The sequence below is a fragment of the Homo sapiens genome, chromosome 5 (genome assembly GCF_000001405.40).
Source record: "Homo sapiens chromosome 5, GRCh38.p14 Primary Assembly".
Lineage (NCBI taxonomy): Eukaryota > Metazoa > Chordata > Mammalia > Primates > Hominidae > Homo > Homo sapiens.
In genome coordinates this window covers 43464874-43481565 of record NC_000005.10, presented here as the reverse complement: position 1 = coordinate 43481565, position 16692 = coordinate 43464874, and the positions used below count along the sequence as shown (strand labels likewise).

The window sequence follows — 16692 nt, the reverse complement described above, 5'->3', positions numbered from 1 at the left end:
GTTTTTTGTAAACAGTAAATTTTGCTTGTTGAGGTCGCTTTAAATTTGGATCATCATGTAAATACTTCAAGTAATCTTTTGATTTTTCACTTTGCTCACGACACTTTATTAGCAAACTAATCCTTTTAAAATCTGAACTCATCATGTAAAATGTAGAGTTAGTAGGTTCGGTGTGGTAGTTTCTGCCTGTAGTCCCAGCACTTTGGGAGGCCAAAGTGGAAGGATCACTTGAGGCCAGGAGCTGAAGACCAGCCCGGGCAACACAATGAGACCCCATCTCTACAAAACACTTTAAAAACAAAAATCTAGCCAAGTATAGTTGTGCATTTCTGTAGTCCTAGCTACTCAGGAGGCTGAAGCAGGAGCCCATGAGTTCAAGGTTACAGTGAGCTATGATCGTGCCACTACACTTCAGCTTGGGCAACAGAGATACCTTGTCAAAAAAAAAAAAAAAAAAAAGTAAGCCGGGCGCAGTGGCTCACGCCTGTAATCCTAGCACTTTGGGAGGCCGAGGCGGGCGGATCACGAAGTCAGGAGATCGAGACCATCCTGGCTAACATGGTGAAACCCCGTCTCTAGTAAAAATACAAAAAATTAGCTGAGCGTGGTGGCGGGCACCTGTAGTCCCAGCTACTCGGGAGGCTGAGAGGCAGGAGAGTGGCATGAACCCGGGAGGCAGAGCTTGCAGTGAGCCGAGATCGCGCCACTGCACTCCAGCCTGGTCGACAGAGCAAGACTCCGTCTCAAAAAAAAAAAAAAAAAAAAAAAGTAAGATTATTAACATTTAAATATATATTGTGATTATTAAAAATTGCTTCATGAGTGAAAGAAAATATAATGCACTGGCTTTATAAGGACATCATGAAATTTGCAGTTAAGTGGATATTGGCTTTTTATTTTTGTCTTCCTTCTGGAATGAGGGTTGAAAATAAATTTGTAATTGGGTCAGGCTCAGTGGCTCACTCCTGTAATCCCAGTGCTTTGGGAGGCTGAGACAGGAGGAACACTTGAGGCCAGGAGTTTGAGACCAGCCTGGACAACATAGAGGGACCCTGTCTCTTAAAAAAAAAAGAAAAAAGAAAAAATTGCCCAAGCTTGGTGGCACTTGCCTGTAGTCCCAGCTACTCAGGAGACTGAGTCAGGAGAATTGCTTGAGCCTAGGAGTTAGAGGCTACAGTGACCTAGCACCATGCCACTGCACTCCAGCCTGGGCAACAGAACAAGACTTTGTCTCTAAAAAAAGAAAAGAAAATTTGTGATAATATATAAACAAAGATTGAGTGGCAGCAGAGCTTTTGTGTTAGGCGTCTGTGTAGTCTGTGCCCAGCCTAGGTTCTTCTCATACCTGAATGGCCTTCTTTCTCATTAGGGCTAACTTACAGGCCATACTTTATTGAAGGAGGGGAATATTGCTGCTGCCGCTGCTCTGGGTTGGCCATTAATTCAAGTTTTCAGTGTCCCTGTTTCAGTCCAGCTAAGTGGATAAGGGCATTTATTTTTAGTTGAAAGGGACATTTTATCAACTTTAAAGTTATATGCATTAAATATTTAAATATGTTGACTTCTTTATCCATTCAGGTGTTGAATGTTTGTTTTCTAAAGGAGACAATGATTCATAATTTGTGACACTGTAAATCCTGAGGTTTATAGAAAGGATTCATGACTTTGTAATGGAGGTATGTTTTGCATTTTTTGTATTTTGGTCACATCTCTTGGTTGAGAGTACCTGGAAATCATTATTTCCAGATCCTGGAAGAATCTATAGAAAATAATCCATCTTAATGCTTTAGAGAACAATTTTCATTATTGCAAATGATCAAGAATGAGCATTGTTGTAGACTCCATTATCATTTAAAAAATAGTTGTTATCTGCAAAGTAAGTACGCTTCACATAAGGAATCTGCATAAGTTATTTCTTGTGTCTATTATTACATAACTATGAACAAATTGTTATGTTATACAATAAATTTGATTTATGAGATTGGATGTAATTTTATTAATACCAATTAGTGTTATATATTTAATGTGCATATTAATATATATTTATAATGTTATACCTTTTTTATTACCTTTTTAAAATTACACTTTTAAGAGACTGACTTTAACAATCAAGTATGAGTTGTTTAATTACTCCTGGCTTTAACTTTTCAAAGTAGCTTTATTGGTTTTATGGTCATAACAGTAAGACATCGAAATTTTTCAAAAATTCAAAAAAGGAAAAAAAGTAATGATTACATTTGTAAGCCCACCGCTGAGAAACAAACCAAATAAACAGTCTTCCAGATTTTTTAATAGACCTGTATATATTTTTTAACAAAAATGTAATTTTTTACATATTATTTTATAGGTTATCTTTTAAATTTGAATACTTAATGAACATCTTTCTATTTCAGTAAATATGAGAATAAGTATTTTTTAATGGCTGCATATTTGTGGAATTTATTTCACTAGTGCCATATTTCAGACATATACATTATTTTAAAATTTTTCTTGTAAACAATGCTATGCTGAATATTCATATATAGCTGTTCATATTTATCTAATTATTTCCTTATTTTCCTGGAATTGGAAATGTAGCATCAAAAGTGTTTGCTTATTTTTTGTGGTTTTTGATAAATAGTCAAATTGACCACGAGAAAGTTTATACCAATTTACATTCTTGCCAATAATCTTTGAGAGTGATCATTATTTCCCTACTCCTACTATCACAGAGTATTAGTAATCTTTTGTCAGTCTTACATTGAAATCTCATTGTTATAATTTGAATTCAACTGATTACTAATAAGATTGAAATCTTTTCATATTTTTTGACACTTTGTATTTCTTTTCCAAATTGTCTTTTTATGTACATTGCCCACATTATTATTGGGATGCTTATTTCTGTATTAATTTTAAGAGCCCTTAATACATTAGGGCTACTAATCTTTCTCTGTCATAAATGTTCTAAATTTCCTCCATTTATTTGTCTTTAACTTTGCCATGCAGAAACTTTATTGTGTAGTCATGCCTATCAGATTTTTAAAAATAATTTTGAGCTCTTCTAGCTAAAAGCTTTACATTATTATATAGTCATTCCTATCAGATTTTTTAAAATATTTTTGGGCTCCTCTAGTTAGCTGGACTATGTAGAATTCTGTTGACAAATTCATATAAGTATCCCAAATTTGATAACCCAGTTGATCACAAAAGCTATCTAACCATGGAAGTTTTCCAGGCAGCTAGTCAACCAAATTGATTCCCTTTCTTAATTTAATCAGAGAAAGAGTCTATATTGTAAAACATGGGGTGTGACGTTTTAAAATCTAAAGTTGTTTATATAAAATTACATTATACAGACTGAAAGTTGATTATCCAAACTAGGTTTTGTCTGATGATTGATTTTCTTCAGTGGTATTTAGTAATTATAGCCTTTTCTACCTAGTGATTACCGATATGGACAGGTCATTTCCTGTTCAATGTAATATATTTGGGAGGTTCCTCTTCCAATCTATTGTGAAGGAAGATAGAACCCATGTTCATCTATACAGATGTTCCTTTACTTATGATGGTGTCCATGTCCTGATAAACCCATCGTAAGTCAAAAATTACATAAGTTGAAAATACATTAACGCCCACAAACCCACTGTAGAGTCAAAAAAATAATAAATTGAACCATCGTAGGTTGAAACCATCTGTATATACTGAAAAGGCCACATACTCTTCTGTCTTCTCCAGCCTTGCAGCTTGAGTGTGGTCATATGACCTAGACTTAGCCAATCAGACACATACTTTACCTCGCTCCGAATTTTGTATTGAGAGCAAGAAACAAATACTGCCAAGAATCTTTTATAGCAGCAGCAGACAAGGCAGCACTGGCAGCAATGCCATTGGAAATACCTGGTGACAGGAGTTTGGTCAGTGCAAGCTGGGCTTGGTGGCAGGGAGATCTTCATCGGACCAGTTGTCTGGTGTCCTTTTTTTTTTTTTTTTTTTTTTGAGACGGAGTCTCACTCTGTTGCCAGGCTGGAGTGTAGTGGCGCATTCTGCTCACTGCAACCTCCGCCTCCTGGGTTCAAGCGATTCTTCTGCCTCAGCTTCCCAAGTAGCTGGGATTACAGGCACACGCCATCATGCCCAGCTAAATTTTTTGTATTTTGTTTTTAGTAGAGATGGGGTTTCACGGTGTTGGTCAGGCTGGTCTTGAACTCCTGACCTCATGATCCGCCCACCTCGGCCTCCCAAAGTGCTGGGATTACAGGCGTGAGCCACCGCCCCCGGCCTGTGTCTGGTGTCATTTTAACTGAAGTTCTTGAGGGATAGTTTCAAAGCCTGGTTTTCAAAACCTGACAAGTCTGTGATTTCCCAATTTCCTTATTTGTTGTTGTTGTTGTTTTTCAGACAGGGTCTTACCCTGTCATTTAGGCTGGAGTGCAGTAGGGCGATCGTAGTTTTTTACTGCAGCTTCAAAATCCTAGACGCATGTGATCCTTCTACCTTAGCCTCCTGAGTAACTAGGACTACAGGTGTACACCACCACGCCTGGCTTTTTTTTTTTTTTTTTCTAGTACAGACAGTCTGTGTTGCCCAGGTTGGTTTCAAACTCCTGGCCTCAAGCAATCCTCCTGCCTTGGCCTCCCAAAGTGCTGGGATTACAGGTGGGAGCTACCACTCCTGGCCTCAAAAATTTTAATATTTTTTTTTTTTTACTTATACAAAACTGTTTTTGCCCTTCCTTGCACTTGGAACCATAGCTGATAACGAGATCTGGGTCAAATATTACATCATTCCTCTACCAATTCAGAATTATGTACACATTTCTCCCCACCATATACGTACTGGGTCTGGTTCTCGATTTTGTATTCACCTTTATGTACTCACATTATGCTACTTTTTTTTCAAAAGTTTATTAGCATGTACTCTTTCAAATGAAATTTAAAATTATTTTGTGAAGTTCCTAGAAGAAAATCCCTTTATGATTTTGATTAAAATTGCATTAAATTTATAGATTAATTTGGAGAGAATAACACCATCAGTGTTGTCTTCTTATGCAAAAAAAAAAAAAAAAAAAAAAAAAAAAAGGTCTGGCTTTTGTATCAGTTAGGATCCATCAAAGAAGCAGAACTACTTTGTGAGCTAAAGACCTATGGAATTGTGGGAGGTGGCAGAGCGGTCTGCAGACTTGCCTCTGAGTCTCTTGTTCAGCCTGAAGTTGCTGCAGATCTACTAGACTGGCAGTCAGACAGGGATACTGGATGTGGATGAGAGAAAAGACAAACTGAAACCCTTGGGAACAAAACGGAACCTGCATCAGCCTCTCACCAACCCTAGTTTTGATGCTTGAGTAACCTGCAGGAGAGGATGACACTTTCGATGTCAGAGCTGCACTTGTGGGCCCAGGATTTGGAGAAGTGGAGAGAAGGTCTGATGGGAGTTGAAGGAGCTGCAGGTCCAGCTTCTTCCCCATGCCAGCAAGGTGAGCTAACAGATCGGCAGCACATGCAAACTTCACAGTGTGCTCTCCATTGACCTTCACGGTGTAAAAAATATGACTTGCTTCATTTGTGAGTTCCATATAATGTCTCCTATAGCCAACAGTACCCAGAACTATATAAGGAAGGGAATTCTGGGAAATGTTTTTAAGTCCGAGTTAGCTGAGTTGATACAGTACAAAGCCATTAGAGCTCTAGTTAACTGATCTTTTTCATCTTTTAATAGAGTTTTGTTGTTTCATTCTTGCTATTTTAATTCTTGGCATTTTGAGTTGCTGTTGTGAATGTTCATTTTCCCATCTTATGATTATTGCTATTATATTGAAAAATTGTTTTAGTTCATACCTTGAACTAACCACATTTTTCAACTTAAATTCCAACAGTTTTCTGTTGGTTCTCTTGGGTAGGCAGTCATTTCACCTGCAAACTAATGTAATTATCTTTTCCTTCCTGATAATGTAATGATACATTTTCTTCCCTCCCTCTCCTGCCTTTATTCTTTTTCCTCATTACATTGATTAAAACCGCCAAAACGATGTTATAATAGCTATACTGTTTCTGACTTTTTTTTAAATTATACTTTAAGTTCTGGGGTACATGTGCAGAATGTGCAGGTTTGTTGCATAGGTATACACGTGCCATGGTGGTTTGCTGCACCCATCAACCTGTCATCTACATTAGGTATTTCTCCTAATGCTATCCCTCCCCTAGCCCCCCACCCACCTATAGGCCCTGGTATTCCCCTCCCTGTGTACCCTCTCTGTGTCCATGTGTTCTCATTGTTCAACTTCCACTTATGAGTGAGAACATGCGGTGTTTGGTTTTCTGTTCTGTTAGTTTGCTGAGAATGATGGTTTCCAGCTTCATCCATGTCCCTGCAAAGGACATGAGTTCATTCTTTTTTATGGTTGCATAGTATTCTGTGGTGTATATGTGCCACATTTTCTTTATCCAGTCTATCACTGATGGGCATTTCGTTCCAAGCCTTTGCTATTGTAAACAGTGCCACAATAAACATACGTGTGCATGAGTCTTTATAGTAGAATGATTTATAACCCTTTGGGTATATACCCAGGAATGGGATTGCTGGATCAAATGGTATTTCTAGTTCTAGATCCTTGAGGAATCGCCACACTGTCTTCCACATTGGTTGAACTAATTTACACTCCCACCAACAGTGTAAAAGCGTTCCTATTTCTCCACATCCTCTCCAGCATCTGTTGTTTCCTGACTTTTTAATGATCGCCATTCTAACTGGCGTGAGATGTGGTTTTGATTTGCATATCTCTAATGACCAGTGATGATGAGCCTTTTTTCATTTTTTTTTTTTTTTTTTTTGAGACAGAGTTTTGCTCTTGTTGCCCGGGCTGGAGTGCAATGGCGTGATCTTGGCTCACCACAACCTCTGCCTGCTGGATTCAAGCAATTCTCCTGCCTCATCCTCCCGAGTAGCCGGGATTACAAGCATGCACCACCACGCTTGGCTAATTTTGTATTTTTAGTAGAGATGGGATTTCTCCGTGTTGGTCAGGCTGGTCTCGAACTCCCGACCTCAGGTGATCCACCTGCCTCAGCCTCCCAAAGTGCTGGGATTACAGGCGTGAGCACCACGCCTGGCAAATGTCTTCTTTTGAGAAGTGTCTGTTCATATCCTTCACCCACTTTTTGATGGGGTTGTTTGCTTTTTTCTTGTAAATTGGTTTCTCTGTAGATTCTGGATATTAGCCCTTTTTCAGTTGGATAGATTGCAAAAAATTTTCTCCCAGTCTGTAGGTGGCCTGTTCGCTCTGATGATCGTTTCTTTTGCTGTGTAGAAGCTCTTTCGTTTAATTAGATCTCATTTGTCTATTTTGGCTTTTGTTGCCATTGCTTTTGGTAACAAAAGACGAAGTCTTTGCCCATGCCTGTGTCCTAAATTGCCTAGGTTTTCTTCTTGGGTTTTTATGGTTTTAGGTCTTACGTTTAAGTCTTTAATCCATCTTGAGTTAATTTTTGTATAAGGTGTAAGGAAGGGATCCAGTTTCAGCTTTCTGCATATGGCTAGCCAGTTTTCCCAACACCATTTATTAACTAGGAATTCCTTTCCCCATTGCTTTTTTTTGTCAGATTTGTCAAAGATCAGATGGTTGTAGATGTGTGGTGTTATTTCTCAGGCCTCTGTTCTGTTCCATTGATCTATATATCTGTTTTGGTACCAGTACCATGCTGTTTTTGTTACTGTAGCCTTGTAGTATAGATTGAAGTCAGGTCACGTGATGCCTCCACCTTTGTTCCTTTTGCTTAGGATTGTCTTGGCTATTTATGCATGCTGTTTTTTGGTTCCATGTGAAATTTAAAGTTGTTTTTTCCAATTTTGTGAAGGAAGTCAATGGTAGCTTGATGAGGATAGCATTGAATCTGTAAATTACTTTGGGCAGTATGGCCATTTTCATGATATTCATTCTTCCTATCCATGAGCATGGAATGTTTTTCCATTTGTTTGTGTCCTCTCTTATTTCCTTGATCAGTGAGTGGTTTGTAGCTCTCCTTGAAGAGGTCCTTCATATCCCTTGTAAGTTGTATTCCTAGGTATTTTATTCTCCTTGTAGCAATTGTGAATGGGAGTTCACTCATGATTTGGCTCTCTGTTTGTCTGTTATTGGTGTATAGGAATGCTTGTGATTTTTGCGCATTGATTTTGTATCCTGAGACTTTGCTGAAGTTGCTTATCAGCTTAAGGAGATTTTGGGCTGAGACGATGGGGTTTTCTAATTATACAATCATGTCATCTGCAAACAGAGACAATTTGACTTCCTCTTTCCCTAATTGAATACCCTTTATTTCTTTCTCTTGCCTGATTGCCCTGGCCAGAACTATGTTGAATGTACAATTAAGTTATTATTCACTGTAGTTACCCTGTTGTGCTATCAAGTACTAGGTCTTACTCATTCTTTCTATTTTTTTTTTTTTTTTTTTTTTGTGACACGGAGTCTCGCTCTGTAGTCCAGGCTGGAGTGCAGTGGCGTGATCTCGTCTTGCTGCAACCTCCGCCTCCTGGGTTCGAGTGATTCTCCTGCCTCAGCCTCCTGAGTAGCTGGGATTACAGGTGCACGCCACCACACCCGGCTAATTTTTGTATTTTTTGTAGAGACAGGGTTTCACTGTGGTGATCAGGCTGGTCTTGAACTCCTGACCTTGTGATCCGCCCACTTCGGCCTCCTGAAGTGCTGGGATTACAGGTGTGAGCCACCGTGCCCGGCCTTCTGTTTTTTTAGTACCCATAAACCATCCCCACCTCCCCCTGCTGACCCCCCACCACCCTTCACAGCCTCTGGTAATGATCCTTCTACTCTCTATGTCCACGAGTTCAATTGTTTTGATATTTAGATCCCACAAATAAGTGAGAATATGTGATATTTGTGTTTCTGTGTCTGGCTTATTTCACTTAGCAAAATGTTCTCCAGTTCCATCCATGTTGTTGCAAATAACTGGATCTCATTCTTTCTTATGGCTGAATAGTAGTCCATTGTGAATATGCACCATATTTTCTTTATCCATTCATATGTTGATAGACCCTTAGGTTGCTTCCACATCTTAGCTATTGTAAACAATGCTGCAACAAACATAGGAGTGTAGATATCTCTTTGATATACTGATTTCCTTTCTTTTCGGTATATACCCAGCAGTGGGATTGCTGGATCATATGGTAGTTCAATTTTTAGTTTTTTGAGGAACGTTCAAATTGTTCTCCATAGTGGCTGTACTAATTTACATTCCCACCAAGAGAGTACAAGGTTTCCCTTTTCTGCACATCCTCTTCATCATTTGTTATTGCCTGTCTTTTGGATATAAGCCATTTTAACTGGGGGAGATGATACCTCATTATAGTTTTGATTTGCATTTCTCTGATGATCAAAAATACTGAGCACCTTTACATATGCCTGTTTGCCATTTCTATGTCTTCATTTGAGAAATGTCTATTCAAATATTTTGCCCATTTTTTATTAGATTATTGTATTTTTTTTCCTATAGAGCAGTTTGAGCACTTACGTATTTTGGTTATTATTCCTTTGTCAGATGGGTAATTTGCAAATATTTTTTCCCGTTCTCTGTGTTTTTTTCTTCACTTTACTGATTGTATCCTTTGTGCAGAAGCATTTTAACCTGATGTGATCCCATTTGTCCATTTTTGTTTTGGTTACCTGTGCTTGAGGGATATTGGTCAAGAAATTTTTGCCCACATCAATGTCGTGGAGATTTTCCCCAATGTTTTCTTGTAGTAGTTTAATAGTTTGAAGTATAGATTTAAGTTTTTAATCCATTTTGATTTGATTTTTGTATATGGTGTGAGATAGGGGTCTACTTTCATTCTTCTGCATATAGATATCTAGTTTTCCCATTACCATTTGTTGAATAGACTGTCTTTTCCCCAGTGTATGTTCTTGGCACCTTTGTCAAAAATTAGTTCGCTATAGGTGTGCAGATTTGTTTCTTGGTACTCTTTTCTGTTTCATTGGCTGATGTGTCTGTTTTTATGTCAGAACCATGCTGTTTTGGTTACTATAGCTCTGTAGTATAATTTGAAATCAGGTAATGTGATTCTTCCAGTTTTGTTCTTTTTGCTTAGGATAGCTTTGGGTATTCTGGGCCTTTTGTGGGTCCATATAAATTTTAGGATTTTTTTTTTTTCTGTTTCTGTGAAGAATGTCATTAGTATTTTGATAGGGATTGCATTGAATCTATAGATTGCTTTGGGTATTATGGACATTTTAACAATATTGATTCCTCCAGTCCATGAACATGGATAATTTTTCAATTTTTTGGTGTCCTCTTCAATTTCTTTCTTCACTGTTTTATACTTTCCATTATAGAAATCTTTCACTTCTTTGGTTAATTCCTAGGTATTTAATTTTATGTGTGGCTATTATAAGTGGAATTACTTTAAAAATTTCTGTTTCACATTGTTCAATATTGTCATATTGAAATGCTAGTGACTTTTGTATGTTGCTTTTGTATCCTGCAACTTTACTGAAGTTGTTTATCTTCTCTCTTTTATCTTCCCTCTTTTTTTCTTAGTCTGGCTAAAGTTTTGCCAATTTTGTTTAACTTTTAAAAAAACCAACCTTGTGTTTCATTGATCTTTTGTATTTTTTTATTTCAATTTTATTTATTTATTCTCTGATCTTTATTATTTCTTTTCTTCTACTAATTTTGGGCTTGGTTTGCTCATGCTTTTCTAGTTTAATAGTTTTAATAGTTTTCTTGTCGCGTCTTTAGGTTTTTCCAAATATAAGATCATATCATCCGCAAACAAGGCTAATTTGACTCCATCCTTTCCAATTTGGTTGCCTTTTATATCTTTCTCTTATCTGATTGCTCTAGCTAGGATGTCTATTACTGCTGAAAAACAGTGATGACAATGGGCATCATCCTTATCTTGTTCCAGATCTTAGAGGAAAAGCTTTCAATTTTCCCCCATTTGGTGTTGTGAACATAAAATATCTGAGACAGCTCTCAATCAGTTTAGAAAGTTTATTTTGTCAAGGTTAAGGATGTGCCCGTGACACAGCCTCAAGAGGCTCTGATGACATGTGCCCAAAGTGATCAGGGTACAGCTTGCTTTTATACATTTTGGGAGTCATGAGACATCAATCAGTATGTGTAAGATGTATGTTGGGGCCAGGCATGGTGGCTCACACCTGTAGTACCAGCACTTTCGGAGGCTGAAGCAGTGGATCACTTGAGATCAGGAGTTCAAGGCCAGCCTGGCCAACATGGTGAAACCTCATCTCTACTAAAAATACAAAAATTGTTTGGGTATGGTGGTGTGTGCCTGTAATTCCAGCTACTTGGGAGGCTGAGGCACAAGAATCACTTGAACCTAGGAGGTGGAGGCTGCAATGAGCTGAGATTGCACCACTGCACTCCAGCCTTGAGGTGGCAGAGCGAGACTCCATCTGAAAACAAAACAAAACAAAAAAGATGTATGTTGATTCCTTCTGGAAAGGCGGGACAACTCAAAGGGAAGACTTCCAGGTCATAGGTAGATAAGAGAAAAAAGGTTGCATTATTTTGAGTCCTGGCCCAGCCTTTTAATGAATACACAATTTTATCTGGCTCAGTGAATCTGCATTTTTACATAAATAGGGCAAAGGAAGCAATCAGATATCCATTTGTCTCAGGTGAGCAGGGGGATGATTTACTGTCCTGCACCTGTGAAGATAAGCCATCCGTTTACATCGCCAGGGTGAAATTGGGTGGAACTGTTTCAGGGTAAAGATCTTGAGATCCGCAAGGAATTTCCTTCTGGGCAAATTGTGAGGGAGGTATGTAGCTTTTTATCTTTGTAGCTATCTTATTTGAGAATAAAATAGGAGGCAGGTTTACCTGACATAGTTCCCAAGTTTACTTTTCTCTTGATTTAGTGATTTCAGGGTCCCGAGATTTATTTTCCTTTCACAGTATGATACTAGCTATGGATCTGTCATATACAGCTTTTATTATGTTGAGGTATGTTCTTCCATACCCAGTTATTTTTAGGGTTTTTAAAACAAATAAATGTTGAATTTTACCTAGCCCTTTTTCAGCATCAATTGAAATGATCATATGGTTTGTGTCCTTCATTTTGTTGATATGATGTATCACACTGATTGATTTGCGTATGTTGAAGCATCATTGCATCCCGGGGATAAAGCCCACTTAGTCATGATGAGTGATCTTTCTAATGTATTGGTGAATTCAGTTTGCTAGTATTTTATTGAGAATTTTTGCATCAATATTCATCAGAGATATTGGCCTTTAGTTTTCTTTTTTTGTGTGTCTTTGTTTAACTTTTCCAAAAAACAACCTTATGTTTCATTAATCTTTTGTATTTTTTTATTTCAATTTCATTTATTTCTTCTCTGATCTTTATTATTTCTTTTCTTCTACTAATTTTGGGCTTGCTTTGCTCTTGCTTTTCTAGTTAAGATGCACTGTTAAATTGTTCATACGAAGTTCCTCTTTTTTGATGTAGGCATTTATAGCTGTAAACTTACCTGAGTACTGCTTTTGCCATATCCCTTAGGTTTTGATATATTATGTTTCCATTATTATTTGTTTCAAGAAATTTTTAAATTTCCTTCTTAATTTCTTCATTGACCCACTGGTCATTCAGGAGAATATTGTTTTATTTCCATGTATTTGTATAGTTTCCAAAATTCCTCTTGTTATTAATTTCTAGTTTTATTCCACTGTGGTCAGGGAAGATGCTTGATATTAATTCAATTTTTGTTAATGTTTTAAGACTTGTTTTGTATAGTCTATCCCTGAGAATATCCATGTGCTGAGGAAAAGAATGTATATTCTGCAGCTCTTAGATGAAATGTTCTGTAAATATTTATTAGATCGATTTGGTCTGCAGTGCAGATTAAGTCTTGTGAACCCCGAAAATTTGAGACAGGTTTCAGTTAATTTAGAAAGTTTATTTTGCCAAGGTTGAGGATGCATCCATAACACAGCCTCAGGAAGTCCTGATGACATGTGCCCAAGGTGGTCAGGGCACAGCTTGGTTTTTTACATTTTAGGGAGACATAAGACATCAATCTGTAATGCCCAACCTCACTTTTACTAACCCTGTTTTTAGACTCTCCCTTTTTCCTTTAATCACTTAGCCTTGTTTCCACCTGAATGGACTCTCCCTTAGCTAAGAGAACCAGACAGACTCCATCTTGGCTCTTTCACTGGCAGCCCCTTCCTCAAGGACTTAACTTGTGCAAGCTGACTCCCAGCACATCCAAGAATGCAATTAACCGATAAGATACTGTGGCAAGCTATATCCGCAGTTCCCAGGAATTCATCTGATTGATAATGCCCAAAGCCCCGCGTCTTTCACCTTGTAATAGTCTTAAAGCCCCTGCACCTGGAACTGTTTACTTTCCTGTAACCATTTATCCTTTTAACTTTTTGCCTACTTTACTTCTGTAAAATTGTTCTAACTAGACACCCGCCCCCCCACTCCCCTTCCTAAACCAAGGTATGAAAGTTAATCAAGCCCCTTCCTCAGGGCCGAGAGAATTTTGAGCATTAGCTGTCTCTTGGTCACTGGCTAATAAAGGACTCTTAATTCGTCTCAAAATGTGGCATTTTTCTAACTCGCTCAGGTACAACAAATCAATAAGAAGTACATCAGTTCCATCCAGAAAGGCAGATACAGCTCAAAGTAAGGCCCCCCCCAACTGAGGGCTTCCAGGTCACAGGTAGGTGAGAGACAGATGGTTGCATTCTTTTGAGTTTCTGATAAGTCTTTCCCAAGAAGGCAATCAGAATATGTATCTATCTCTGTGAGCAAAGGGATGACTTGAATAGAATGAGAGGCAGATTTGCCCTGAGTGGTTCCCAGCTTGAAAGGACCCAGGATGTTTTCCTTTCACAGTCTGATGTTTCTTTGTTGATTTTCTGTCTGGAAGATCTGTCCAATGCCAAAAGTGGGGTGTCAAAGTATCCAACTATTATTATATTGGGGCCTATCTCTCTCTTTAGCTCTAATAATATTTCCTTTATATATCTGGGTGCTGCAGTGTTGGTTGCACATACATTTAAAATTGTTATATCCTCTTACTGAAATTACATCTTTGTCATTATACAGTGACCTTGTCTCTTATACTTTTTGTCTTGAAATCTATTTTGTTCAGTATAGGTATAGCTATTCCTGCTCTTTTTTGGCTTCCATTAACATGGAATATCTTTTCCCATCCCTTCACTTTCAGTCTATGTGTGTCTTTATAGGTAAAGTGTGTTTCTTGTAGGTAACAGATAAATAGGTCTTGGTTTTTCATACATTCAGCCAGTCTATGGCTTTTGATTAGAGAATTTAGTCCATTTATATTTAATGTTATCATTAATAAGTAAGGACTTACTCTTTCCATTTTGTTATTTATTTTTTGGTTGTTTTATGGTCTTTTCTTCCTTCTTTTTTTTTTTTTTTTTTTTTTGACAGAGTCTCTCTCTGTTGCCCAGACTGGAGTGCAATGGCACAGTCTCAGCTCACTGCAACCCCCACTTCCCAGGTTCAAGCAATTCTCCTGCCTCAGCCTCCCAAGTAGCTGGGACTACAGATGTGCGCCACGACACACAGCTAATTTTTATATTTTTAGTAGAGACAGGATTTCATCATGTTGGCTAGGCTACTCTCAAACTCCTGACCTCAAATGATCGACTCACCTTGCTTTCCCAAAGTGCTGAAATTACAGGTATGAGCCACTGCATCTGGCCTCTTCCTTCTTTCTTTCCTTCCTGTCTTCCTTTAGTTAAAATGATTTTCTCTGGGGATGTGATTTAGTTTCTTGCTTTTTATTTTTTGTGTATTCATTGCATGTTTTTTGGTTTGAGGTTATTATGAGGTTTGTAGATACTCTTACAACCCATTATTTTGCCTGATAACAACTTAACACTGTCTGTGTAAACAAATAAACAGCAAAAAGAAAACTGATAAAAACTCTGTTTTAACTTCATCCCCCCCGCCTACTTTTTCACTTTCTATTTTTTTGTGTACTTGCTATTACCAGTGAGTTTTGTACCTTCAAATTATTTCTTATTGCTCATTAACATCCTTTCCTTTCTGACTGAAGTTCTCCCTTTAGCTTTTCTTATAGGACAGGTCTAGTGTTGATTTAATCCCTCAGTGTTTGTTTGTCTGGGAAAGTTTTTATTTCTTCTTCATGTTTGAAGGACATTTTTGCCAGATATGTTATTCTAAGATAAAAGTTTTTTTTCCTTCAGCACTTTTAAGATGTCATACCACTGTCTCCTAGCCTGAAAAGGTTTCCACTGAAAAGTCTGCTGCCAGATGTATTGAAGCTCTATAGTATGTTATTTGTTTATTTTCTCTTGCTGCTTTTAGGATTGTTACTTTATCCTTGACCTTTGGGAGTTTTATTATTAAATGCCTTAAGGTAGTCTTCTTTGGGTTAAATGTACTTGGTGTTCTACAAGCTTCTTGTACTTGGATAGCGATATCTAAGTTTGAGAAGTTCTCTGTTATCCCATTCAATAAACTTTCTACCCCTATCTCTTCCTCTGTCTCATCTTTACAGCCAATAACTATTTTTTTTAAAGTTTTAAAAAGTTTATTCCCTATATACTCCTTTCTTTTTTTTTCTTTTCTTTTTTTTAAATTTTATTATTATTATACTTTAAGTTTTAGGGTACATGTGCACAATGTGCAGGTTTGTTACATATGTATACATGTGCCATGTTGGTGTGCTGCACCCATTAACTTGTCATTTAGCATTAGGTATATGTCCTAATGCTATCCCTCCCCACTTCCCCCACCCCACAACAGGACCCAGTGTGTGATGTTCCCCTTCCTGTGTCCATGTGTTCTCATTGTTCAGTTCCCACCTATGAGTGAGAACGTGCAGTGTTTGGTTTTTTGTCCTTGTGATAGTTTGCTGACGATGGTTTCCAGTTTCATCCATGTCCCTACAAAGGATATGAACTCATCCTTTTTTATGGCTGCATAGTATTCCATGGTGTATATGTGCCACATGTTCTTAATCCAGTCTATCATTGTTGGACATTTGGGTTGGTTCCAAGTCTTTGCTATTGTGAATAGTGCCGCAATAAACATACATGTGTCTTTATAGCTGCATGATTTATAATCCTTTGGGTATATACCCAGTAATGGGATGGCTGGGTCAAATGGTATTTCTAGTTCTAGATCCCAGAGGAATCGCCACACTGACTTCCACAATGGTTGAACTAGTTTACAGTCCCACCAACAGTGTAAAAGTGTCCCTATTTCTCCACATCCACATCCTCTCCAGCACCTGTTGTTTCCTGACTTTTGAATGATTGCCATTCTAACTGGTGTGAGATGGTATCTCATTGTGGTTTTGATTTGCATTTCTCTGATGGCCAGTGATGATGAGCATTTTTTCATGTGTTTTTTGGCTGCATAAATGTCTTCTTTTGAGAAGGGTCTGTTCATATCCTTTGCCCACTTTTGGATGGGGTTGTTTGTTTTTTTCTTGTAAATTTGTTTGAGTTCATTGTAGATTCTGGATATTAGCCCTTTGTCAGATGAGTAGATTGCAAAAATTTTCTCCCATTTTGTAGGTTGCCCGTTCACTCTGATGGTAGTTTCTTTTGCTGTGCAGAAGCTCTTTAGTTTAATTAGATCCCATTTGTCAATTTTGGCTTTGGTTGCCATTGCTTTTGGTGTCTTAGACATGAAGTCCTTGCCCATGCCTGTGTCCTGAATGGT

General features: G+C 37.9%; 1 protein-coding gene across 14 annotated transcripts in view; it reads left to right on the top strand.

The window, feature by feature from the left end:
* TMEM267 (transmembrane protein 267) overlaps positions 1–16692 on the top strand; it is a 40136-nt gene that overhangs the window by 2822 nt on the left and 20622 nt on the right. For 3 of the 14 annotated variants that reach the window (NM_001377395.1, NM_001377398.1, XM_047417516.1), the window contains 2 exons: positions 1579–1676; positions 5077–5452. The exons of 6 other annotated variants lie outside the window; for them this stretch is intronic. The gene's annotated coding sequence lies outside the window, so the exon portion shown is untranslated. Of the gene's footprint in view, positions 1–1578; positions 1677–5076; positions 5453–16692 lie in introns of those variants that run through there. 5 more of the 14 variants (NM_001377403.1, XM_011514075.4, NM_001377397.1 and 2 more) reach the window with 5 other exon arrangements.